This window comes from Homo sapiens, chromosome 7 (assembly GCF_000001405.40).
Source record: "Homo sapiens chromosome 7, GRCh38.p14 Primary Assembly".
Lineage (NCBI taxonomy): Eukaryota > Metazoa > Chordata > Mammalia > Primates > Hominidae > Homo > Homo sapiens.
This window is the reverse complement of record NC_000007.14, coordinates 56,659,019-56,686,657: the sequence shown is the minus strand read 5'-3', so window position 1 is coordinate 56,686,657 and position 27,639 is coordinate 56,659,019. Positions and strand designations below refer to the sequence as shown.

The 27,639-nt window shown below is 39.5% G+C and overlaps 2 long non-coding RNA genes and 2 pseudogenes across 3 annotated transcripts; 2 read left to right on the top strand and 2 right to left on the bottom strand.

Moving 5' to 3' along the window:
• On the top strand, positions 462 to 1,622 carry LOC100533633 (zinc finger protein 257 pseudogene; annotated as a pseudogene).
• VN1R26P (vomeronasal 1 receptor 26 pseudogene) lies at positions 5,001 to 5,513 on the top strand (annotated as a pseudogene).
• LOC102723684 (uncharacterized) lies at positions 11,576 to 27,509 on the bottom strand. The gene is made up of 3 exons (XR_428154.4): positions 27,307 to 27,509; positions 27,021 to 27,195; positions 11,576 to 11,806 (listed from the first exon to the last, which is right to left on the bottom strand). It is a non-coding gene; the product is annotated as an uncharacterized LOC102723684 (long non-coding RNA).
• On the bottom strand, positions 17,097 to 19,488 carry LOC105375289 (uncharacterized). Of its 2 annotated transcripts, none has more exons than XR_927278.2 (2): positions 18,407 to 19,488; positions 17,097 to 17,533 (listed from the first exon to the last, which is right to left on the bottom strand). It is a non-coding gene; the product is annotated as an uncharacterized LOC105375289 (long non-coding RNA). The 2 variants fall into 2 exon arrangements; XR_927279.1 differs by lacking the exon at positions 18,407 to 19,488 and adding an exon at positions 18,012 to 18,399.
• Positions 27,510 to 27,639: the final 130 nt, after the last annotated feature.

The window sequence follows — 27,639 nt, the reverse complement described above, 5'->3', positions numbered from 1 at the left end:
AACCAGTGCTCACACCTGATTGGACATAAGAGAATTCATACTGGAGAGAAAACTTACAAATGTGAAGAATGTGGCAAAGCCTTCAACCAGGGCTTACATCTCACCGGACACAAGAGAACTCATACTGGAAGAAAACCCTACACATGTGAAGAATGTGGTAAAACTTTTAACTGATTCTCATACTTTTCTCATCATAAGAGAATTCATACTAGGGAGAAACCCTACAATGGCGAAGAATGTGGAAAAGCTTTTATGCGTGGCTCAATCCTTACTAAACCTAAGAGAATTCATACTGGAGAGAAACCCTAGAAATGTAAAGAATGTCGTAAGTCTTTGACCAGTGCTCAATCCTTACTGAATAAGATAATTCACATGATAGAGAACCCCTACAATTGTAAGGAATGTAGCAAAGGTTTTAATTTGTGCTCAACTTTTACTGTAAGTGAGTTCATTCTGGAGAGAAATGCGAAGAATGTGGCAAAGTCCAGCCCTCAGGCCTTATAATACACAAAATTATTTATGCTGGAAAAAATCACTACACGTGTGGAGAATGTGGCCAGGCCTTTGACCAGTTCCAAACCTTTCTTATACATGAGAGAATTGATATTGGACAAAAATCTTATACATGTAAAAAAATGTAACAAAGCCTTTAACCAGCCCTCAAAACTTAATGAACCTAAGAGAATTTATTTTTAAAAACAATTGTTTTTTAAGATAGAGTCTCACTTTTTCACCCAGGTGGGAGTGCAGTGGCACTATCTCAGCTCACTGCAACCTCTGCCTGCATGATTCAATTGATTCTCCTGCCTCAGTCTCCGGAGTAGCTGGGATTGCAGGTGCATGCCACCACACTGGCTGATTTTTGTATTTTTGGTAGAGATGGGGTTTCAACGTATTGACCAGGCTGGTCTCGAACTCCTGACCTCAGGTGATCCATCTGTCTCAGCCTCCCAAAGCCTAAGAGAATTTGTAGTAGAGAGACCCTACAAGGGTTAAAAATGGGACAAAACCTTTAAGCACATCTCAGGCCTTACACAATATCTGATCATTCATTCTAGAGAGAAACCCTACAAAAGCAAAGAATGTGGTAAAGCTTTTAACTAGTCTTGAACCCTTATTATACGTAAGAGAATTAATATGAAGAGAAACCCTATAATAAGGAATATGGAAATGTCTTTAAAAAGTCCTCAAACCTGAATAAATGTAAGATAATTGATACTGGAGAGAACCCCTGCAATTGTAGAAAAAAATGTGGCAAAGTCTTTAACTGGTTCTCCATCCTTGTTAATTAAACAATTTTATACTGGAGAGAAACTCCACATACGTAAAAAATGTGACGGAGCATTTAACCACACCTCAATCTTTTCTACAAACCATACTGGTGAGAAACTCTAGAAATGTGTTAAATGTGTTAAATGTGGCAAGGCCTTTAAATGGTAGTCACATGTTTATGGTAGGCAAGATAATTTATACTGAAGAAAACCCCTACAAATATGAAGAATGTGGCAAAACATTTAACAAATTCTCACACCTTATTGCACCAGAAAGCATTTATGCTAGAGAAAAATTGTACAAATACAAGAATGTGAAAAGCCATTAATATCTGCTCACATCTTACTCAATATCAGAAAGTTCATACTTAATAAAAGCATCATAGGCCGGGTGTGGTAGCTCACACCTACAATTCCAGCACTTTGTGAGGCCAAGTGGGTGGATCACGAGGTTAGGAGTTCAAGACCAGCCTGGCCAACAAGGTGAAACCCCATCTCTATTGATAATACAAAAATTAGCTGGGTGTGGTGGTGTTTGCCTGTAGTCCCAGCTACTCAGGAGGCTGAGGCAGGAGAGTTGCTTGAATCTGGGAGGCAGAGGTTGCAGTGAGCCGAGATCAAGCCACTACACAGCAGCCTGGGTGACAGAGGAAGACTCCATCCAAAAAAAAAAAAAAGGCATTATAAATGTGATTACTGTAAAAAGACCTTTCAGAAAATATAGGCCTTTAAAGACTATTTATTCTGAAGACAAACATACAAACATAAAATGGATTGTTATACCTTTACTTGCATTACAGATGTTATTGTACACATTTTATATTAAAGGAAAACCCTGAAGCAGATGCTCAAACTTTGTTGAACATCAGAGACTTTATATTGGAGAGAAAGTCTAAAAATGTAATTAATGTGAAAAAACATTTGTTCAAAAACTACAGCTTAGAAAACACAATTTTATTCTAAATATTTTTGCAGATCCAGTAAATGGGGAAAATATATATAATCAAAAATTAAGTCTATATAAACATTTGAGGATTCACAGTAGAAAGAATGAAGGCACTGAAACTTCAGACATTACACTAAATGAGAGTATTGAGTATAAAAAAGGTCCAAAGGTAGCACTATATACAATTTAAAGAAGTAGATTAGAGATTTTATAGCTACATTCGAGGTATGCTTCTTTTTCTGTGAAAAACATTAGATTTTCTGAAAAGCAAATAATAATGTATCTCAAGTCTCAGATTACTTCATGCTGATTCTTCTCCTTGTTTGTGAAAGTATTTGATCAATGTTGCATCACAGACATGACAGATAGTTTTTTTATTAGGTGTCCATTATTTATGAACTTTTCTATGGAAGAGTAAGGACATTAAGTTGTAAGATGCATAATAAAAATGTAAATAGATAGGCTTTTTGTTGTTGACTTTTTGTTTTTGTGATGTATAAGGCCGGTGTTCAGAGTAATATTCTGAATTCTAGTGAGAGGAAAATGTTTGAATATTAGTATAAATTATTTTATCAATTGTAATTTTATGTAAATAAAATGCGATAAATTCAAAAATTTTTTTAAAGTTTATGTGTGAACATAATTTTTTCATTAAACAAAGTTGTTTTTAATGTGTTAAAACTATAGTGCTTTGAACAAAGTGTTAATTTGCATCAGCTTTAATGTGTCCCATCTTATTTAAGGTTCTAAGTAAAAGATGGTAACAATATAGTATTTATTAATGTAGGGGAATGACATCTCTAGTAATATCTTTCTTGCCAGTGTTTGTTTGTTTGTTTGTTTGTTTTGAGATGGATTCTTGCTCTGTTGCCCAGGCTGGAGTGCAGTGGCGTGATCTTGGCTCACTGCAACCTCCACCTCCTGGGTCCAAGTGATTCTCCTGCCTCAGCCTCCCAAGTAGCTGGGACTACAGGCACGCGCCACCATGCCTGGCTAATTTTTGTATTTTTACTAGAGATGGGGTTTCACCATGTTGGCCAGGCTGGTCTCAAACTCCTGACCTCAAGTGATCCACCTGCCTTGGTGTCCCAAACTTCTGGGATTACAGGTGTGAGCCACCATGCCTGGCCTGCCGGTGGTTTTTAACTGCCCTAAGTTAAAGAATTTCTTTCTCCCCATAGGTCAAATTTGTATTCAGGCAGAAGTCTTTTACAGGGGCAGAGCCGTCATGGAGAACTTGTGCTAGGGCAATGCAGAAGGGAAATGTGGGGTTGGAGCCCTCATGCAGAGTCCCCATTGAAGCTGCGAACTGGAGTTGTGAGAAGGCCACTATACTCCATGAGCTTGCACTATGCCCCTGGAAAAGCCACAGACACTCAATTCCAGTCCATGAAGGAGCTGCCCAAGGCATGAGGGCCCACCCCTTGCATCAGCATGGCCCACATGTGAGACATGGAGTCAAATGATATCATCTCAGAGCTTTAAGATTTAATGACTGACCTGTCGAAATTCAAACTTGCATAGGGCCTGTAGCTCCTTGGTTTTGGCCAATTTCTCCCATTTGAAATGGGAGAATTTATCTAATGCCTGTACCCCCATTGTATCTTGGAAGTAACTAACTTGCTTTTGATTTACAGGCTCATAGGTAGCAGGGACTTGCCTCGTCTCAGATGAGACTTTGGACGTAGACTTTTGGGTTAATGCTAAAATGAGTTAAGACGTTGGGGGACTGTTGGGAAAGCATGTTTGCTTTTGAAATATAAGAAGAGCATTAGATTTTGAACGGGCCAGGAGCAGAATGATACCCATGGTGTTCTCATGATAGTGGGTGAGTTCTCATGAGATTGGATGGTTTTATAAGTGGTAATTTTTCCTGCTCTCCCTCTCTCCTGCCACCTAGTGAAGAAGATACCTGCTTCTCCTTCACTTTCTCCCATTATTGTAAGGTTCTTGAGGCCTCCCCAGCCATGTGGAACTGTGAGTCAATTAAACTTCCTTTCATCATAAATTATCCAGGCTTGGGTAGTATCTTTACAGCAGTGTAAAAAGAGACTAATGCACAAATATAAGATAGGGCTATGTCTGTCCTAGATGCTTCGTAATCAGCCATAATTATTCCTGCTTGAGTTTTTTTGTAACTCTCAGCCACTGATGGAAAATATTCATGGTGAAAATATAACATTGATTCTGCATGTGCAGAGGACATCTGTTCCCAGGCTGCAGAACGGCCTCTCTGAATTTAAATAAAAATTCTGCTTTTTTAATTTTCTGATTATCTTTTGTTTTGTGTCTGTTTATGTCTATCCAAATGATGTGTCCATCACAGCCCTTCCCCTTTTTTCTGTGCTATGGCTACAGCTTTCTCACTGCTCTCTCTGTACAATGTCATTTCACACAGTACTTTGTAGATTCTGATGAGAAGTTTGGAATTTTTTAATATGGTGAAAAACTGTGTTAAACTTGGGAGTTTGAGCTTATTTATAGCTTCTCGATGTAACTTCCAGATCAGTTAATTGAGATAGGAGGCATACACTGTCCACAGGTGAGAAGATTAAATCAAGTAGCACTGTTTGTCTTAGTAAAATTTTTTTATTAGATTCTAAGACAAAGTGTAGCATATACAAAATTAGTTAGAAAATATAGCTTAGAAATTAAACTTATTGGAGAGTTAATATTAAGGGATAATTATTAAATGTAATTTTTATGATATATTTATAGCACAACTTATGTTTTCATGCAGAATCATGTATTTTTGAGTGTGAATGTTAAATATTGCAAATAAAATGAGTTCTGTGGATTTAAAATTTGGAATAATATTTCTTTTTCATATTAATGTTACAATCTTGAGAGATTTTTCCATTACTTTATGATTATTTTGACTGGGTGAGATTCACAGTCTACAGTTTTCACTCTTAGTCACCTAAGCATAGCCAACATTTTGGTCATTTTTCTGGGAAAATTTTGGAGATTATGGCAGCTTTTGGGTTAAAACATTTACTCAGTTGTTTTCATGCAAAGATGTTTATTGTGTCACACAGTGACCAGTCATGTGACAGAGGGTAACAGCTGATTTTTAGTGCCCTCCGTTACATTGCCATCAGCACCAGAAACTAAAGGTCCCCAAGCTGAAAGTAAAAGCCCTGAAGTATATTGGCTCCTCCCATGTGCTGCTGGACCCAGAATATGCTGTAAATATCAGAGTTTCTATTGCTATTGCTGACAAGTTAAATAACAAACAGCACAGAAAAACTGAGGAAAATGCATTGATACATTTTTTAGTTCTTTATAGTTTATAGAACTTTCTAGTTTCTAAATTATTATAAGTTGAAGCAATTTCAACATGCAGATATCTATAAGTTCTATCTAGATGATGATATTAATATTGTAATCACTGATAATTTTGAGCAACAATTGCCTCATTTGGTTTACTGCAAAATAATTATTTCTCTTCTAAATGTAAGTAGTGAATAGGGTTTATATAATTGTAAGCATACAAGGCCTTTTAAGATGATCACTAAGATTAAAATAAAATTCACACCTATTTAGTAACATAAATTTTAATTATTTTCTAACAGAAGTGAAGAAGCAATAGAAATAAGTTGTTAAAATGAGCTCAAAGAAACTACACATGTGGTCATTAAATAACATTTAAAACCACATTGTAAGTGACTGATTAGTAATTCTAATTTGTTTCATTTTAGTCACTGAGAAAACAATATTCTTTAATCATTCCATATAAAAAAGTGTTCATTTATTAGTGTTTTCAAAACTTTCAGAAACTTTAGACCACTCAATGAATAAGGTTGTACATTTAGATCACAAATTTTAAATAAAATAATAGGTTTATTCTAGCTTTTTTTTTTTTCAGACGGAGTTTTGCTCTTTTGCCCAGGCTGGAGTGCAGTGGCATGATATCAGCTCACTGCAACCTCTGCCTCCCGGGTTCAAGTGATTCTTCTGCCTCAGCCTCCCAAGTAGCTGGGATTACAGTCACTGCTACCACACCAGGTAATTTTTGTGTTTTTAGTAGAGATGGAGTTTCACTGTGTTGGCCAACCTGGTTTCAAACTCCTGACCTCAAGTGATCCACCTGCCTAGGCCTCCCAAAATGCTAGGATTATAGGTTTGAGCCACTGCATCCAGCCTCATTGTAGCTTTTAATGTAAAGGCTATTTTTCAAAAGTACCATTGATGACTCTTTTAAGTAATGAGAGGAACAAGGTTGTTAGAAACCATTTACCAACCAAAGCATTTGTGTTAGGCTTTGTTATGAGTTCTTTGAATGCAAAATGAAGTTCTCCATACTATCTAAGGGTCAAAAAGTTGTTTTTAAATTCTGCTTAATCTCTACTAAATTAGAAAATTCAAAGCAAAAATGTTAAATAAAAAAATGGAAAAAAAACATTGAGTGAGAGGGGGCTGGCCATAATGGTTAATATTAAAGCTCAGTATCTGGTGGTTCCTGATTGCATCCCGGTTCTGTCACTATGGGCTGTGTGACCTGGAAACAGTTTCTTGACATCTCTGTGCTTCAGTTGTACAGTAAGGATAATACTGCCTAAATCCTAGGGTTTTGGTAAAATTAAAGCAATTAATACAAATAAAGGTGTCAGAAGAGGGCCCAGCATAGAACGAATGTACAGAAAATTTATTAGCTCTGGTGATTTGTATAGTTTTTTAGATCAGGACCAATGTTAAGCCTGGGAACAACAAGGTGGCCACACCAGGGGGTTGTAATCCATGTTCATTTTAATTGGTCAGTTTGGGAATGTAACAGTCGATGGATATTTTTAATACTATCTTTGGCAAATTCTCATATGTTTTCATACAGCATGATATAAATACTAAAGAGAGATCCCTCATCTTGTACTGCTTTTTACCACTCTAGTAACACTAGAGAATAAGCACTTAAATGCTGAGTGTTGTCAGTTTTAAATTAGAGAAACAGGCAAATTGTTTTCTGATCTACTTGGTTAATAAATTTTTTTTGCCAACTAATTTTTAAGTTCACTTGGTAAATTTAAAGGTAGTTTAAAATGTATATTTAAATAACTTTTCTCTATAAGTGAAGAAAATCATTTATCTTGAGATAATTTTACTTTAAACAGTTGCTTTAGAGTCTTTCTTGGAAAGTATTCTATTATCAAATAAAGCCGGGTGCAGTGGCTCATGCCTGTAATCCCGGCACTTTGAGAGGCCAAGGCAGGCAGATTACCTGAGGTCGGGAGTTTGAGACCAGGCTGACCAACATGGAGAAGCCCCATCTCTACTAAAAATACAAAATTAGCCGGGCGTGGTGGCGCATGCCTGTAATCCCAGCTACTCAGGAGGCTGAGACAGGAGAATCGCTTGAACCCAGGAGGTGGAGGTTGCGGTGAGCTGAAATCGCACCATTGCACTCCAGCCTGAGCCACAAAAGCGAAACTCCGTCTCAAAAAAAAAAAAAAGAAAAGAAAAGATAAGAAAGAATTACATTGTTCTGAACAATGATAATTAACATATTTTATTATTGAGTGATAGGTTCACACTATTCATGATATCAAAAGTACCAACATCACTAGGTAACCAAGCTGTGTGTAATTAGAAATATATACATATCTTTCCTGACATTATAAGATAGAAAGAAACATTTATTTCTCTGGCCCAATTTTTTAAAGTTAAGTTTTACAAAAAAAATACTTGTATTACTACCAGTATATTTGACTGACAAATCAAAATTGGGTACATTTATGGGGTACAGTGTAATATTTTGTATATGTATAAAATATGAAATAAGTCAAGTTAACTAATATATCTATCACCTCATTTACCGATCATTTTTTGCAGTGAGACATTAAAACTTACTGTTAGTTATTTTGAAATATAGATACATTATCATTGACTATAATCACCCTACTGTGCAATAGATCTCAAAGCCTCTTTATTCTGTCTGTAAAACTGCATTCTTTTGTCAACATCTGCCTCTGGTAACCAATTATTCCACATTTTACTTTGTTATTAAAACTTCATTAGATTCTACATGTAAGTGAAATCATGCAGTACTTTTCTTTGTGTGTCTGGCTTATTGTACCTAGCAAAGTATCCTGTAAATGTATCCATATTTTTTCAATTGACAATATTCCCCCCTTTTTAAGGCTACATAATATTCCATTCTGTTTACTATTATTCTAAATATATACACCACATTTACAATAAAATTGTAATTTAAATATATATTCATCTAATGGTTGGAAAAATCATGTGTAATGTAAAAATATTTGTGTGAAAGCATATATTAACATAATTCAGCATATAAATATCTAGTTAATAATAGCTAATTTGTACTGAGCACTAACCATAACACTGTACACGTGTTAATAAATTTTGTTGTCACATTGTTGTAGTCTGGCTGTGTCTGCACCCAAATCTCATTTTGAATTGTAGTTCCCATAATCCCTATGTGTCATGGGAGACATCTGGTGGGAGGTAATTGAATCATGTGGTCAGTTACTCTCATTCTGTTCTCATGATAGTTAGTGAGTTCACATAAGATCTGATGGTTTTCTAAGGGGCTTTTCTCCCTTTTGCTCAGCACATTTTCTCTTCTTGTCACCATATGAAAAAGGACATATTTGTTTCCCCTTTTATTATGATTGTAAGTCTCCTGAGGCCTTTCCAGCCATGCTGAACTGTGAGTCAAATTAACCTCTTTCCTTTATAATTTACCTAGTCTTGGGTACATCCCTATAAAAGTGTGAGAATGGACTAATAGACACAGTAACTTAATAACATATTATTATTATCCTCAATTTACAAAGAAGAAAACAGAGCCAGAGAGAGAAATAACTTGCTTACAATAGCAGATCCAGTATTAAAACACAAGCAACTTTGACTCCAGAGATAATACTCTTGAATACAACAGTAAAAACCCTTTCAAACAGAAAAGAAGTTATTTTTAACACCCATTCTTAAAAATTTAACAAAAATTTAAAATGGATACATTTTTATCGTTATATATGTATGTATGTGAATGTATAATATAAATGAGAAACACTTCATATAAGCCAGGAAAAGCTAATAATTATTTTAATAAAATTAAAAAGCAGTTCAATGAATTATTATTTGCAGATGGTATCTTAGTTTACTTAGAAAGACAACAAAAGCAACTGAAAGGTGATTTTAGAAATCTATTCAGGTGGGTAGGCAAAATTCTCAGATGACCCTAAGGTTCCCACTTCAGTGCACACCTGCTGTGTAATCGTTTTCTCTTGAGTGAGAAAATGTGTGACTGTGGTGGGACATTATTCATGTAATTAGGTTACTAATGTATTGGCTTCCTGTTTATCATAAGAGAGATTATCTTGATTAGACTAAACTTAATCAGAGTTGCCTTTAAGAGAAAGAGCACATCATAGAAAAACATCCCTGCTTCCCTGAAATTAATCAAACTTCTTGGTAAGCCATGTCGTAAAGTGTTTATGGTGGCCACATGGCAAGGGATATATTTGTATATTGTCTCTATTTCTACCTTCCACATGTTGCTTTCAGTAGAGAGAATAGGAGGATCTCATGGCAGAGAAAAAAGAAGGAATCTCATTTATGCAAGAAATAATCACCCCTCATCTGGGACAGCTTAAGAAAAACAGAGACCAGAACATGACCACATCGATGGGAAACAAAGGCAACTTGGTTGAAAGGGCTCACTGGCATTAGGAAGCAATGTCTACACGACTGAAGTAAATGATCAGCCACTGGGATACCAACAGTCTACCAACACGGCTGAATTCATTCTTATTCTGATTAAATTAGCATTTCTGCACCATTCTGGTAATTCAGTTTTACATAATTTATGACAAAAATACCATGCAGATCATTGAGTACCCTCCTAGAACTGAACTTACGAAAAAGCATACCCAATTCTTTAATTTCAACATTGGAAAATGTTGAAAAAATAATGAATTTATTAATAATAATCTGACTTTCTAATTTTAGAGAATTCTACTCTTTTGTAATACAATACTGAACTTCAAACACCTTAACATGAATATTTCTTGAATGCATAAATTGTTATATAGATAGTTTCTCTTTTAGATTAATGCAATAAGACTAACAATTAGAGAAAACATTTGAAATAAAATAAAAGTCATCAGAATCACATCTTTCAATGGCTTGGCATAATTGCCATGCTCTTTAATATGGTCAAGAAGCAAAGACAAGATTTTGGCTTTGCCCAATTATTAAGTCCTTGACCTTTTGAAATCTAATATCCTGGCTAAAAAATTAGGATGGAATATATTTTAGGTGGCTGCCTAGAGTGGCAAAGGCAATATGAGAAGAATTTTGATAGCTGGGCAAGAAAATGCATACCACATACACACATTACTCTTCTCTGATTTGCTTTAACTTTGAAATGTTGGAAATTGCAAATCTAGTCCCTAAATTTAGGGTAAATTAACAAAAGATTCATGTTTCAGCTGAGCAAGTTATTGTATGAAACTTATAGGTAACAGATGTCATTAGCTGCAAAAACCAAAATAGTATGACTACATTCAGTAACTATCTAGCCATGCAAATGATAGACCAATTAGATTAAGATCCTAACTGGTGCATGTAGAAAGCATTTATGCACAATGTTTTGACCCTCCCCCAAACATCTTTTTCTGTCTCCTTACAGAGATACCAAATTTTCCTGAATACCTCAAGGTGAATACTGGGAACTGAGAGGCTCAGTGTTCAGAGTTGACTACTGGGAACAGAGTTAACACATTTCTTCTATATTATAAAGAAATTTTATGAATCTTGCTCTGCCTCAGAAAGGCTTTTAGTAAAAGATTGTTCATGTGTAACACTCTATTTGGATTCATGAAAATTTTCAATATTCCATTTAAGTCAGACACACTGAAATGTCAACCAAATTTCATAAAACATATTTGAATGAGATCAAGCCTTTCTTAGCTAAGAATTTTATTTCAGCAGTAAATTTAGAGGAAAATAAGAAATGTGTGTACTTTGGGCCAAATAACAGTGTTGGCCACTTGGGAACAATTCAGACAAGTGCTCTTCATCATTACTCTTAAAGTAGCAATAGCACCACATCCATTTCCTGGCACCAGCCGGCCTGCTTTTCACTGATATGAAGTGCAGAAGGCATTGAAACAGTTAAGAAGGGTGAAATAAATGGAATACTTATATGAAGTACAATTGTTAATAAAAAGTAGCATTTGATATTGTACAACTATAGATAAGATGACAAGTGTGAGATAATATTTTTACTTTAATTGACAATAACTTTATTCACAATATTTCTATTTCAAATAATTTTTTTGCTTTTCATCCAATATTACCTGAGCTCAATAGGAATCAATAAAATGAATCTTTATTTCACCACAAGAATTTTATTCATGCATATGCTTAATTTGCTGAAAATATGTGAGCCTTCCATGAAAGATTTATACTTTGAGTGTGTCATTTTTTGCTGAGAAGTGGCTCTCCTGCCAGAAAACTGCTATTCTCAACTCTGCTCACATTGACTCTGGTCAGCATAGTGATGGGAAGTGATGAGTGAATAAAAAGCAAATGTGTCTTCCTTGAATCTTTTTTCATCTATTGGCTGAAGAAACAGAGAATGCAGATAGAAATTTTTTTTAAAAATCTAATCTCTGAATAATCACAAAGAAGTTTTCTTAACCAGAAATAAACCAAAGGGGATGGTGATTTAAGCAGAAAATGCATTATTTTGCTAAGCCTTTGAAATTTTAGAGCTTATTAGTATGACAATCTGCATTGCTTTAACAAATGTATTGGTCTTTCAGTTTTAATTCTTCCGGATATGATTCAATTTCCTGATGAATCTGAACTGAGAGGAGAATAACTTATTTGTTAAAATTAAAGACGCAGGAAAAAATATGTTGCCTAAAATAAGATAGCCAAAAAGAGACAGACAAAACAGAAAGTAAAATGATGTTCTTCAGAAGCAGAAAAGAGAGAAGGAGAAGACAGTTTATTGGATATTAAATTGCACTTTTTTTTTTTTTTTGAGACGGAGTAACGCTCTTGTTGCCCAGGCTGGAGTCCAGTGGTGCGATCTTGGCTCACTGCAACCTCAGCCTCCCAGGTTCAAGCAATTCTCGTGCCTCAGCCTCCCAAGTAGCTGGGATTACAGGCGCCTGCCACCATGCCCAGCTAATTTGTTGTATTTTTAGTAGAGTGAGGGTTTCACTATGTTGGCCAGGCTGGTCTTGAACTCCTGACCTCAGGCGATCCACCTGCCTTGGCCTCCCAAAGTGCTGGGATTACAGGTGTGAGCCACCGCGCCCAGCCAAATTGTACCTTTTAAAGATAAAATTGATCTAGAAATTTGTTTCAAAATAATAGAAGTATACTTAAAAGCACTCAACATATAGTTTAAGTATACAGCTTTAAAATGTTTAAGATGGTAATTTTATCTTTTTAATCACAAATATTTACATCTCTCAAAAAAGTTACATTTTTAAAAATTGCTTTAAATAACAAGTGTTTTTCTCACACAATAACATATATTCAGACAATAAATAGACGGTAATTTTAGGCTGACTTTTTGACTACTCATCTATACAATAAAACACTGACAACCACCCGAGAAAAGAAATAGATAATTAATAAACAAAATGGGGCAATACTTACACAGGTAAATATCACATAAGTAACTTTTATAGGCAACAGAAGTGTCTGACTTATGGGGCTGGGCGCAGTGGCTCATGCCTGTAATCCCAGCCCTTTGGGAGGCCGAGGCGGGCAGATCACCTGAGATCAGGAGTTATAGACCAGCCTGGCCAACAGGGAGAAACCCATCTGTACTAAAAATACAAAATTAGCCAGGAGTGGTTGGCGCATGCCTGTAATCCCAGCTACTCAGAAGGTTGAGGCAGGAGAATCGCTTGAACCTGGGAAGCAGAGGTTGTGGTGATCTGAGATCGTGCCATTGCACTCCAGCCTGGGCAACAAGAGCAAAACTTTGTCTCAAACAAAAAAAGAAAGGAAGGAAGGAAGGAAGGAAGGAAGGAAGGAAGGAAGGAAGGAAGGAAAAGGAATCAAAGCATATAACAGCAACGAAAACAAAAAAAATTCAACCAAACACAAGTGAAGACAGCATGAAAAGAAAAAGATATTATTAAGTTGGTGCAAAAGTAATTGCAGTTTTTGCCATTAAAAGTAATGGCAAAAATACTAAAGCGTAATACTAAATTGTCAGACAAAAATTAACAAAATGGCAGTAGAAAGTACTTACCTATCAATAATTGTTTAAGTATCAAATAAATTATCTAATAAAAACACATTGCTATGGTTTGAATCTCCCCTTCAAATTTCATGTGGGAATTTAACTGCTATTGTTATAAAATTATAAAGTTAGACGTTTAAGAAGATAATAGGTCCTGAGGGACCTACTCTCGTGAATGAATTAATGTCATTATTTCCAGAGTGGGTTAGTCGGCAGGAAAGTGGGTCTATTATAAAAGTACGCTCTCTGGTGTGCACCTTCAGTCATCCTCATGCCTTTGGCCATTTTGTGATGTGGAAATACGATTCTCATCAGATGTCAATGGGATGCTCTTGGACATCCATAATCTAAAATTGTGAGCTAAGTAAACTCCTATTTTTTAGAAAATACCAACTCTAAGGCCGGGCGCGGTGGCTCACACCTGTAATCCCAGCACTTTGGGAGGCCGAGGCGGGTGGATCACCTGATGTTAGGAGTTTAAGACCAGCCTGGCCAACGTGGTGAAACTCCATCTCTACTAAAAATACAAAAATTAGCTGGGTGTGGTGATAGGTGCCTGTAATCCCAGCTACTTGGGAGGCTGAGGCAGGGGAATCACTTAAACCCAGGAGGCAGAGGTTGCAGTGAGCCGAGATTGTGCCATTGCACTCCAGGCTGGGCAACAGGAGTAAAACTCTGTTCAAATAAATAAATAAACGAATTTAAAAAAAAAACAATTCTAGGATATTCTGTTATTAAAGCAGAAAATAAAATAAAAGATTCGCAGAATGTCTAATTAGATTTTTTAAATTAACAGTATGCTTCACACAAGTGACATATTTTAGATTTAAGGGCATACATATGTTAATGGTTAAAGAATTTTAAAAACCCATACCAATAATAATTGAAAGAGTGTAAGAGTGGCTATATTTATATCAGACAAAATAGACTTTTAGAAAAAAAATCTGTCCCAACAGACAAAGAAGATCACTCTCTAATAATAAGAGGATAATTTGTCAAAAGAATCTAACAATTAAAAAATATATGAACCCAACATTGGAGCACATAAATATATAAACATATATAAACAGAACTTTAAAAAAGACAAATATGACAATAACAGAGGACTTTCTTATTCTACTGAAAACAATAGATTATTCAGACAGAAAGCTAGAAAGAAAACAATGTGCTTGGATAGTGCTGAAGAACAACTGTACCCCCCGGGCTTATGTAGACTATTTCATGTAACAGTATGAGAATACACATTCTTATCAAGCACAAATGGAACATTATCCAAGATAGATCATATGTTGGACCAACAAAAACAACAAACTCTTTTCAAATTTAGAGATTAAAATTATATCAACTTTTTTTGTTTTTGCTTTTGAGACAGAGTTGCACTCTGTCACCCAGGCTGAAGTGCAATGGCATGATCTCAGGTCACTGCAACCTCCGCCTCCTGGGTTCAAGCAATTCTCCTGACTCAGCCTCCCAAGTAGCTGAGATTACAGGCGTGCACCATCATGCCCAGTTAATTTCGTATTTTTAGTAAACACAGGGTTTCACCATGTTGGTCAGGCTGGTCTCAAACTCCTAACCTCAGGTAATCTACCCTCCTCGGACTCCCAAACTGCTGGGATTACAGGCATGAGCACTGCACCTGGCTGTATCAACTTTTAAAATTACAGTTTAATAAAACTAGAAAATAATAGTCAAATAAAAATTTTAAAACTCACAAATATGGGGACAGTAAACAACATGTTCTTGGACAACCAATGGGTCAAAGAGAAAAAGCAAAGGGAAATCAGAAAGTGTATTGAGAAAAAAGAAAATAGAAACACAACATACAATAACTCCTGGGATACAAAAAAAAAACAAACAAACCACAAAACAGTTCTAAATCACAAGTTTATAGTGCTGTTTTTGTATGTTAAGAAAAAGGAAAAGATGTCAAATAAAAAACATAACTTTAATCCACAAAATACTTGAAAAAGGACAACTAAATAATTGCAAAGTTAGCAGAATGAAGTAAATGATAGGTCGGGCGTGGTGGCTCACGCCTGTAATCTCAGCACTTTGGGAGGCTGATGTGGGTGGATCATCTGAGGTCTAGAACAGGCTGGCCAACATGGCGAAACCTCATCTCTACCAAAAATACAAAAATTAGCCAGATGTGGTGGCGGGCGCCTGTAATTCCAGCTACTCTGTAGGCTGAGGCAGAAGTATGGCTTGAACCCAGAAGGCGGAGGTGGCCGTGAGCCGAGATGGCACCACTGCACTCCAGCCTGGGCAACAAGAGCGAAACTCTGTCCAAAACAAAACGAAACAAAACAATACAAAAAAATGAAAGAAAGAAAAAAAGAAAAAAGAAAAAATAATAAAAATTACAAAAGAAATAGACTTCATACATACTGAAAGGACAACAAAAAATATTAAAAGCAGAGAAAGAATTTACATATAAAAGGTATCTAAATAAAACTTTTTTAAAAAAAAAGAGGAGTTAATTCCTTTTATTGTTTTGAAGTTGAATGATTGTCTTATTTTTATTTTGTATTTATGCTTACAATAAGCAGGTCAAAAAAATTTATCCTGAACTCATGGACATTTGATTTCCAGTAGGGTTTGTATTAAGGCACACAGGTGTGGACTTGGGTTTGTGAAAGAGTGTTTGTGGAAAATAAAAAGGCAGAATAAGAGAATGTGTTATAAAAAGCCTATGGGGGCTGGGCACGGTGGCTCATGCCTGTAACCCCAGCACTTTGTGGAGACCGAGGCTGGTGGATCACCTGAGTTCAAGAGTTCCAAACCAGCTGACCAACATGGTGAAACCCAGTTTCTACTAAAAATACAAAAATTAGCCAGGCATGGTGGCAGGCACCTGTAATCCCAGCTACTTGGGAGGCTGAGGCAAGAGAATCTCTTGAACCTGGGAGGCGGAGGTTGCAGTGAGCCGAGATCCCACCACTACACTCCAGCACTCCAGCCTGGGCAACAAGAGTGAAACTAGGTCTCAAAAAAAAAAAAAAAAGAAAAGAAAAGAAAAGAAAAAAGAAAAGAAAAGAAAAAAAAATAAAGAAAAAAAACCTATGGGTAGAAAACAGTACCCAGTTGGTGAAAAGACTGGTTAGTGCTACAGATACTGGTCCAGGCAGGGTAGCTCTGATTTACAGGCGCCCGCCACCACATCCAGCTAATTTTTTGTATTCTTAATAGAGACAGGGTTTCATCATGTTGGCCAGCCTAGTCTTGAACTCTTGACCTCAAGTGATCCACCCTCCTTCGCCCCTCAAAATGCTGGGATTACAGGCGTGAACCACTGTGCCCGGCCACAACATTACTTTAGAATAAAGTTGCTTCTTACCTACATCTAAATTTATTTTATTTGACAATATCTAAAAACAGCCCCAAAACAATAATTACATCCTGACAGAGGACATCATAACCCTCTTCCCATCTCAACTCTCATTGCACCTGCCCGTGCACCCCCACAGTTAAGATGGTGACATATACTTTGACCCAGCTTATAGGCATTATGATAACTCTTACACATAGGCCCAGCAAAAGAGAGAGATTTTGACTCTCATAGATAGGACTAGGGCCATGAGTAAGGTCCTGTGTCTTCTACTTGTATGAAAATCACAGAGAATTATGACACCCATGCATATTGAATAAACCCCGTGGGTGGTACAGAGAGTCTAATAACAGGGCCCAGAACACAGGTGAGATTGAGAGTCTTGTATGAACACACAGCCAAAAGTAGAAATTGTCACATGCCCAAGTGTACACAGGTCACAATTGAGGTTCTGAATCTCACACCCAAGGGCAGTCAAGAGTTGTTGCTACAATCCCAAATGTAGGATCATGCCCATTGCCCTAAGCCCAGGCATGAGAGTCGACATCTCTCCTCTTATATACAGATCCAGTCCACAGGTGAAGTGGGAACTCTCCAACCAGGATTCAGCACACCATTGATGTTGCGACTCCTCTACTGGAACACAGCTTGGAGAAGGGATTGGGGCTCTCATGGCAGGATGCAATCCACTGTTGAGATTGTGACTCATGCACTTGAACCTAAGTCTCAGGAGTTGTTGACTCTTACACCTGGAGTGGGGAAATGTGTGGAATTGGGAGTCTCATTCCTGGGCCTCCCTGCAGGTTGAACTGTGACATGCACTTCTACCTAGAACCTTAGTAATTTCATTGTCCTTCTGGGCTCAACACACAGTTATCTTGTGACTTTTACCTGGGCCAAGCACCTAGGTGATGTGATTATATTGCCTGGCTACTTCCCTCAAAGGAATGGTAATATATGCTTTACTGAGCACCTAAGTGATGTAAACCTTCTCTCTTGCCTGGACTCTGCCCACAGGTAAGGTTATGACATATCACCAAGCCTAGCACTTAATGGCATGACTGTCCTATCATGTTTGTGCCCTGCCCTGAAGAAGCACTGTGACATTACTGGCCTAAGTAAAAAGGTAATTCGAGTCTTCTGCCTGGGACATGTGCACAGGGGAGATTGTGAAATATCTCTTGGCTTATCAACATGATGATGTGATTCTCCTCTGTTGCCTGGTACCTTTTTCCAGTTGGGATTGCAACATATTGCTGGGCCCAGCACCGGGTGATGTTATTCTTCTCCCAGGGCCCAGCCCACAAATGGCGTTGTGGCATCTCTCTGGGTCCATCACCTAGGTGCTGTGACTCTGCTCTTCTAACTGGGCACTTTCCACAAAAGGAATTGTGACACATAGCTGGACCCAGCTCCCTGGTCATGGAGCTGTCTTGTCTTGGTCCTGTGCAAAGGGGTCATTGTGATATATTGCTTGGCCAAGCAGCTAGGTGATATGACTCTCCTGAATGGGCCCTGCTCTCAGAGAGGATTTTCACCCATCACTGGGCCAGTCATATAGGTGATGTGTCTCTCCTCTGTTGCCTGGACCCTGCCCAAGTAAGAATTGTGACATCACTTACCCAGCACCCAGGTGATAGGACTCTCATGTCTGGTTCCTGCCCACAGGTGAAATTGTGACATATACATGGTCACAGCTCACAGGTGAGGTGATAACTCACATACCTGGATCCAGCTAAGAGAACAGATTTTGACTCTGATATCTAGGCTTAGAGCAACAGGCAAGGTCCTTGGTCTCCTACTTAAATAAAGGTCATAGTGTATTATGATACCAAGGCATACTGTGTAAAGTCCTCAAATAATACAGTGTCATAACAGGACCCAGAACAAAGGTGAGATTGTGACTCTTATATGCACATCCAGCTGAATAGAATTGTCACCCTCACATATAGACAGTGCTCACTGGTGAGGCCTAAATCTCACATGCAAATGCAATCCAGACTTGGAACTGTGACTGTCATATGTAGGTGCAGTCACAGGTGAGAAAGTGACTCATTTTTGAACCCAGATCACAGGAACAGCAATGGAACTCAGACCTGGACCCAGTCAGTAGCAGAAATTCACAATCAGGGACATTTTCCAGGACATAGCTAGAGGTATAAAAGTCGACACTTCCTGTGGGTTGAGTTCAAGTATTCAAGTCAGTCACAACAGTGGACTAAATCAATGCACAAGAGCCCAAATCTCACCAACAGACTGTTTTGATAGGGGAAGCACAGCCCCCCGGTGTTCTAAATCCAGGACTTGGTGTCATCACCTCATCTGTCGATTGGATTGATGCATGAGATTCACAATTCCAACTCCATTGCCTCTTGGTGTGTGATTCGGAACCTCAACAGTGGGTTCTGTTAATGTGGAAGGCTGATAATCCTCACTTTGATCTGAGTTTGCATACAACAGCCACGATTTTCCCTGTGTGCTGGGCTCTATTTTGGCACTCTGTAGCACTTGAGAGCTTCATACAATGTGCATGCAACTCATAATAGTCTCTGGCCATCCTACAAGTTGAAGACCCAGAACCTTAGTTTTTGCTCTAAGACTAACTACAAGAGTCATATCTTCAGGTATGAGTCATCATTCCACCTGTAAGCTGTGCCCATGTGTTTTTCCCAATTCCAACTGTGGAGACAGACCAGGCACAAGGGTTGCATCACCTGGGTGCTGGCCAGAGATATGTCACAATTGCCACTTTGGGCAGGGTCAAAATCTCCCCTTAGTGCAGGGGCAATTCAGGAGGGTCATATCACCTAGGTGGTGGGCCCAGCGATATGTCACAATGCCCCCCATGGGCAGGGCCAAAGCAGGACAGTTATATCATCTGGAAGCTGGGCCCAGTGATATGTCACAATGCCTTTTGGGGGCAGGGTTCAGGAAGGAAAGAAGAGTCACATCACCTAGGTGATGGGTCTAGAGATATTTCACAATGCCTTCTGTAATTAGAACCCAGGAAAAAGAGTTATATCATTTGGGTTAAAGGTCTGGTGATATGTCACAATCCCAACTAAGGGCAAGACCCAGGCAGAAAAAGAGACTCACTTCACTTTGACAATTGGCCCACAGTATAATTTAATTTCTCCTGAGGACAGGGCTCATGTAGAAGAAAAACATAAATTAAGTGCATAGCCCAGGTATATGTTACAATCTCAACTGTACACTGGGCCCAGGCAATTGAATAAAATTAATCAGATGCTGGGAAAAAGTATATGTCACAATCACACCTGCAGAAAGGTTTAAAGATAAGATTTAAAACCCCACAAATGTGCTGGCTTCACTTATGACAGTCAACATATCTTGTGAGATGTGTTCAAGTATTCAAGTCACAACCTCAACAGTGCACTGGCTCTGTGCATGAGAGCCCAAACCCCACTTGCAGACAGTGTCCCAGTAGGAAAGTCACAGTCTCACAGGAGTGCTGGATCTTGGTGTGAGAGTCACCGCCCTACCTGTGGACTGCATTCACGTATGAGAGTCACAATTCCAACTTTTGACTGCCTCTGAGTGTGAGATTCAAGACGTTGTAAGGAGGCTGTGTTCAGGTGGGAGGGTGAGAATCCTTATTGTCAGCCAGGTGTGCATATGACAGTCACAGTCTCACCTGTTTGCTGGTCCCTGTTATGACACTCTCTGTACCACCTGAGGGTTTTATATGGCACATGTGAGACTCACAATCTGCTTTGAGACCTTTGTGCTTGCCCAGGTGTTTGTTACAATCTCAAAAGTAGGATCACGCCCATTGCCCTAAGCCCAGGCATGAGAGTCAACATCTATCCTGTTTTTGGGTCCAGGTAAGAGAGTCATTTTTGTTCCTATAATCTGGTTCCAGAAATTGGTCAACATCCCTCCTGTGGCTCAATCCACATGTGACAGGCATGATCCCAACTGTGGACTGTATCTGTCAGTGAGATTCAGGAACTCACCATTTTGCTCTCTCCCTATGTAAAGGTGACAATTTTAACAGTCAGCTGAGTGTGCATACAATAGTCACAGCCTCAGTGTTGTGCTGGGTTCTGACACTCTCTGTCCCATCTGAGGGCATTACACAATATGCATGTGTGTTGTAATCACCTGTGATTTTTTTTTTTTAAGTAGAAAAGCCAGAATTTTATTTTTTGGCCTAAACCCAGCTATGCGAGTCAACACCTCTCCTATTAGCAGAGTTCAGGTATAAGAGTCATCGCTGTGCCTGTAAGCTGGGTCCAGCTATGACTTACCACCTGACCTTTGGCCAGATCCACATGGGATGGTCAATATTCTAACTGTGTATTGTGTCCTTATATGAGAGTCAGGACCTCACCAGTAAGTTTTGTCAGTGTGTGAGGGAGACAATTTTAATTGTCAGCTGGGTGTGCCTATAAGATTCACAATTTTACTTCTTTACTGGACCCTGATATGGCACTCTTTATATCATGCAAAGACTTTATAGAATATGCATAAGTAATATATTGTGTGATCTTTCTACATGTAGAAGGCCCATAACCCTTACCTGTTTGTCTAAGCCTAGCTAGAAGAGTTAAAATCTCTTCTATTGGCTGGGTTCACATATGCGAGTCTTCATTATACCTGTGAGCAGGGCCTAATGTGTGACCATCCCACCTGTGGGCAAAGACTAGCGGGGAGAGTCGTATCAACTAGGTGCTGGGCCAGCGATATGTCAATATTTTTACTATGGGCAGGGTCCTGGCAGTAAAAGTCACATCTCCTGGGTGCTAGGAAAAGCAATATGTCACAATCCACCCTGTAAACATGTTCCAGGTAGAAGACAGCCACATCATCTAGGTGATGGGCCCAGTGATATGTAACCATTTCTCCTGTAAACAAATTCAAGGCAAAAAAGAATCACATAACATAGGTGATGGGCCTAAAGATATCTCACAGTATCCCCTGTGGACTGGCCCAGGCAGAAAGGGAGAGACACATCGCCTAGGTGATCGGCCCAGTAATGTGTCACAATACCCAGGAGGGCAGAGCCCAGCAGGAAAGTCACATTATCTAGATACTTAACCTAGTTATATTTCACAATCTAAACTGTGGGTGGGGCCTAGGAAAAAGGGAAAAATCAGTCAGATACTAAGCGATGATATATGTCACAATCACACCTGTGAAAAAGTTCAGAGATAAAATTTACAATCTCTCACACACCCCCGCTTCAGGGTCAGAGTCAATACCTCCTGTGAGTTTCACCCAAAAGGCAAGTAACAACCTCAACAGTGGACTGGATCCATGCATGAGAGCCCCAACTCCACCCGCAGAGAGTGTCCCAGTCAAAAAGTCAAAATATCACAGTGGTGCTGATTCTTGGTGCAAAAATCACCATGTTACCTGTGTTTAGAATCCATATATAAAAGTAAAAATGCCAACTTTTGACTGCCTCTAGGTGTGAGATTCAGAACCTTTACAGTGCACTGTGTTCATTTGGAAAGTAACCATACTGTTGGCTGGTTGTGCATATGAGAGTAACAATTTCACCGGTTTTGGGCCCTTTTATAATGCTCTCTGTAGTACCTGATGGCATTATAAGGTATGCACCAGAGTCACAATAATCTGTGAGATTTGCATGCTTGTGTGGACACACAATCTTACCTATTACTTTAAGCCCAGAGTCAACATCTCTCCTATTTTCTGTGTCCAGGAATGAGATTTATCACTGTGCCTGTGAGTGGGGTCCAGAAATGAGTCACCATCCCATCTGTGGCCAGATCCACATACGACAGTCACAATATCAACCGTGAGCTGCATCCATGAGAGATTTAGGACCTCAGCAGTGGGCACTGTCTGTGTGTGAGGCTGACAATCTTAACTTTTGACTAGATGTCTATATGAGAGTCACAATCTCAACTGTGTGCTGGGCCCTGTTTTGACATACTCTGTACCACCTGAGGGAATTCTACCATATGTTAGAGTTTCATAGGCCCCTGTGACCTCTGTAGAGGTAGGAAACAGACGACCTTACCCATGGACCTATGTCTATCTATGAGTCAGTATCTGTCCTATTGACTTGGTCTGAGCATGAGATTCACCACCATGCTTGTAAGCTGGATCTAGAAATTAGTCACCATCCAGCCTGAGGCCAGATCCACATATGACAGTCAGAATTCCAACTCTGGACTGCATCCATGTGTGAGATTCAGAATCTCATCAATGGGTTCTGTCCATTTGTGAAGGTGACGGTTCCACTTGTTGGCTACTGAGAGCCACGATCTCACCTGTGTGCTCGGCCCTGTTTTATTTATAAAGCCCAAGGGCTTTATAAAATACATGTGTGTGTCATAATCTTTTGTGACCTTTTTATAATTAGTAGACCAAGGTTTTTAGTTGTTGCCCTAAGCATAGCTATTAAAGTCCAAATTTCTCCTATTGGCTAGGTCCATGTAAGAAAGCCATCAAATGACTGTTGCCTGGGCCTAGGTATAGGTCATAATCCCACATGTGGGCAGAACCAGGGAGGAAAGTCACATCACCTGAATGCTGGGCTGGGGAAATATCAATATCCCTCCATGGGCAGGACCCACGCAGGAAAGCCATATCACCTTTATGCTAGGTTTAGTAATATGTCACAAAGCCCACTTTAGGAAGAACCTAGTCAAGAGCCAGATCACCTTGGTGCTTGGCCCAGCAATATGTCACAATCCCTTGTGTACGTAGGGCCCATGCAGGAAAGGGGAGTCACATCATCTAGGTGCTGGGCCCAGTAATATGTCACAATCCACCCTGTTAACAGGGCCCAGTCATGAGAGGAGAGTCATATCACCTAGATAACATGCCCAGATTATATGTCACAAATTTTACTGGAGAAAGGGATAGTCAGGAAAGTAGAGTCTCATCACCTAGGTGAGGGTCTCAGAGATAACATTACAATGCTCCTTGTGGGCAGGGCCCAGGCAGGACAGTCATATCACCTAGGTGTTTGGGCCAGGTATATGTCACAATCCCAACTGTTAGCTGAGCTCAGGCAAGAGAGTAAAGTCAATCAGGTGCTGAGAAAAAATTATGTCAGAGTCACACCTGCAGAAGGTCCAGGGATGAGAGTCACAGTCCCACACATTTCCTGGCTCAAGTTATAAGAGAAAACTCCTTTTGTGAATTGTGTTTAAGTACACAAATTACAATCTCAATTGTGGACAGAATTCATGCATAACAGCTCCAAACTCACCTGCAAACACTGTCTAATTAGGGCAGTCTCAGCCTCACAGGTGTGCTGAGTATAAAAGTCACCATTCTACCTGTGAACTGGATCCATGTATGAAATTCAACTTTCAACTGATCTGGGAGTGATACTCAGAACTTCAACAATGGGCTGTGTCCATATAGTATAATGACATTCCTCACTGTATGTTATGTGTGCACAGAAGAATCACAGTGTCATCTGTGTGCTGGGTCTTTGTAGGACACCTTCTGTGCCACTCAAGAGCTTCATACAGTATGCATGAGAATGAAAACCTGCTCTGAGACCTTCATGCTGGTATGAACTCATGATCCTACATATTGCCCCAAGTTCAGGTATGAGAGTTATCATTTCTCTTATTTGTTGGGTCCAGGTATAAGAGTCATCAGTATGTAAGCTGGGTCCAGAAATTAGTCACCATCCCATTTGTGGATGGATCCATATATGACAGTCACAATTCCAACTGTGAACTGTTTCTGTGAGTGACATCCAGGACCTCATGAGTATACTCTGTTCTGATTTAATAGTTACAATCCAAACTGTGGCCTGTGTACACATGAGTCACAATCTCAATTTTGACATGGGCCCTGTTTTGACACTTTTTGTACCACCTGAGGGCATTATACAATATGCATGAGTGTTGCTATTCTCTGAGACCTCTGTAAAAGTAGGAAATCCAGGACCTTATCTTTTGCCCTAAGCCTAGATACAAGAGTCAAGATCTCTTCTATTAACTGGAACCAGGTATGAGAGTCATTGACATGCCTATGAGCTGGGTCCAGAAACAAGTCACCTGACCTGTGGCCAGATCCACATATGACAGTCCCAAATTCAACTGTGGACTGTTGAACCCTCACCAGTGGGCTTTGTCCAGGTGTGAGAGTGACAATCCTAATTTTTGGATAGTGTGCCTCATATGAGAGGCACAATTTTACCTCTGTAATGAGCTCTGATATGATGCAAGTATTTTATAGAATATTTATGAATGTCAAAATCCTCTGTAACTGTGATACAATTAGGAGACCTAGAAGCTTACTGATTGTTCTAAGCTCAGCTATGAGAGTCAGAATCTCGTCTATTGGCTGGGCTCTCACATGACAGTCATTATTATTCCTGTAATCCGAACCTAGGTATATGCCAGAATCCCACCTGTGGGCAGAACCAGGCAGGAGAGTCACATCACCTGAATACTCAGCCAGGGGTGTATTAGTATCCCCTCTGTGAGTTGAGTGCTGGTAGGAAATTCACATCACTATGGTGCTGGGACGAGTGATTTGTCACAATGCCTCCTGTGGGCAGAACCCTGGCTGAAAGATTACATCACATGATTCCTGGCTCAGCAATATGTCACAATCCCCTTTATGAACCGGGCCCAGGCAGGAGATGACAATCACATCATCTGGGAATGAGACCAGAGGTATATCACAATGCCACCTGTGAGAAGGGACTAGGCAGGAGGGTCACCTTACTGAGGCTTTTGGCTTAGGCATATGTCACAACCCACACTGTGGGCTTTATTCAGGCAGTATAGTCAAATCAGTCAAATTCTGGCTGGGCAAAGTTATATGTCACAATCACACCTGTGGGAAGGTTGAGGAATGGAATTTACATTTCTGCACATGTTCTGGGTCCAGGTATAAAAGTACACACCTCTTGAAATTTAACCATGTGTCCAAGAATGCAAATCACCATTTTCTTTCTTCCCTTTCTTTCCCTTTCTTTCTTTCTTTTTCTTTCTTTCTTTCTTTCTTTCTTTCTTTCTTTCTTTCTTTCTTTCTTTCTTTCTTTTTCTTTCTTTCTTTCTTTTTATTCCTTTCTCTTTCTCTCTCTTTCTTTCTCTCTCTCTCTTTCTTTCTTTAGTTTGACAGAGTTGCACTCTTGTCACCCAGGCTGGAGTGCAGTGGTGTGATCTTAGCCCACTGCAACCTCTGCCTCCAGGGTTCATGTGATTCTCCTTCCTCAGGCTCCCAAGCAGCTGGGATTACAAGTGCGTGCCACCACACCCAGATAATTTTTGTATTTTTAGTAGAGACCAGGTTTCACCATGTTGGCCAGGCTGGCCTCAAACTCCTGACCTCAGGTGATCCACCTGCCTTGGCCTCCCCAAGTACTGGGATTACAGGCGTGAGCCACCACACCGAGCTGCAAGTCACAATTTCAACAGCAAATTGAACCCATGCATGAGAGCCAAACCTCAGACAGCACCTATTAGGAGAGTTAAAGCCTAATATTGGTGCTGAATCTTGGTCAGAGACTCAGGCTGGATCCACATATTAGAGTAACAATACCAACTTCTGACTGCTTTTGGGTGTGAGAATCAGAACCTCAACAGTGGGCTGTGTCTATGTGGGAGTGTGACAATCTTTACTGTTGGCAGTGTATGCATATGAGAGTCAAAATCTCAACAGTGTACTGGGCCTTGTTATATTATTACTCTTTGCACCATCTGCGGCGGTAGATAATATGTGTAAGACTTGCAATGCACTCCAAAACATTTGTGCCTATATGAACCCATGATCTTACTCATTTCTCCAAGTCTAGGGATGAGATTCACCATCTCTTCTATTGACTGGTTTAGATATAAGAGTCATTACCATGCCTGTGAGCTAGGTCCAGCAATAAGTCACCATTTTACCTGTGGCCAGATCCACATATGACAGTCAAAATTCCAACTGTAAACTGTGTCTACTAGTGACATTCAGGACCTTAACTGTGGGCTCTATGTGTGAGATTGACAATTTTAACTGTTGGCTATGTGCTGGGCTCCGGAATGACATGCTCTGTACCACCAAAGGGCATTATAGAATATGCATAAGCTTGCTCATACTTTGCCATCTTACCGGAAGCAGGAGGCTGAAGACATTATACATTGTCATAAATCCAGCTAAAAGAGTCAAAATCTCTTCTATTGGTTGTGTCCATGTATGATAGTCATCAGCATGCCTATGAACTGGACCCAATTATATGTCACAATACCACCTGCAAGCAGGGACTAGGAAGGAAAGCCACATCACCTGAATACTGAGCCTGAGTAGGTCAATGTCCCTTCTGTTGGAAGAGTCCTGGCAGGAAAGTCGTATCACCTAGCTGCTGAGCCCACTCAATGTCACAATGCCCTCTGTGGGAAGGGCCAAGGCAGGAGAGTCAAATGACCTGGGTGCTGGGTCCAGCAGTATGTCACAAATTACCCTGTGGACAGAGCCCAGGAAAAAAAGGAGAGTCACATGACCTAGGTGATGGGCACAAAGATATATCACAATGTTCTCTGAGAAAAGTGTCCAGAAAGAAGAGTTACATTACCCAGATGCTTGACCCAGGTTTATGTCACTATTCCAACTATAGGAATTGCTAAGACAGAAGAGCCACGTCACCGGGATGCTTGGCCCACTGATTTGTCACAATCCTTTCTGTAGGCAGGATCCAGGTAAAAAATAGACAGTAACATCTACTAGGTGATGGGCCCAGTAATCTGTCACAATTCCCCATGCAAGCAGGTCCAAGGCAAAAGAGGAGATTCATATCACCTAGGTGATAGGCCTGGGGATATGTCAAAATTCCAAACAGGGGTTTGGCCCAGGCAGAAGGGGAGAGTCATGTCACCTAGGTGATAGACCCAGTAATATGTCACAGTGC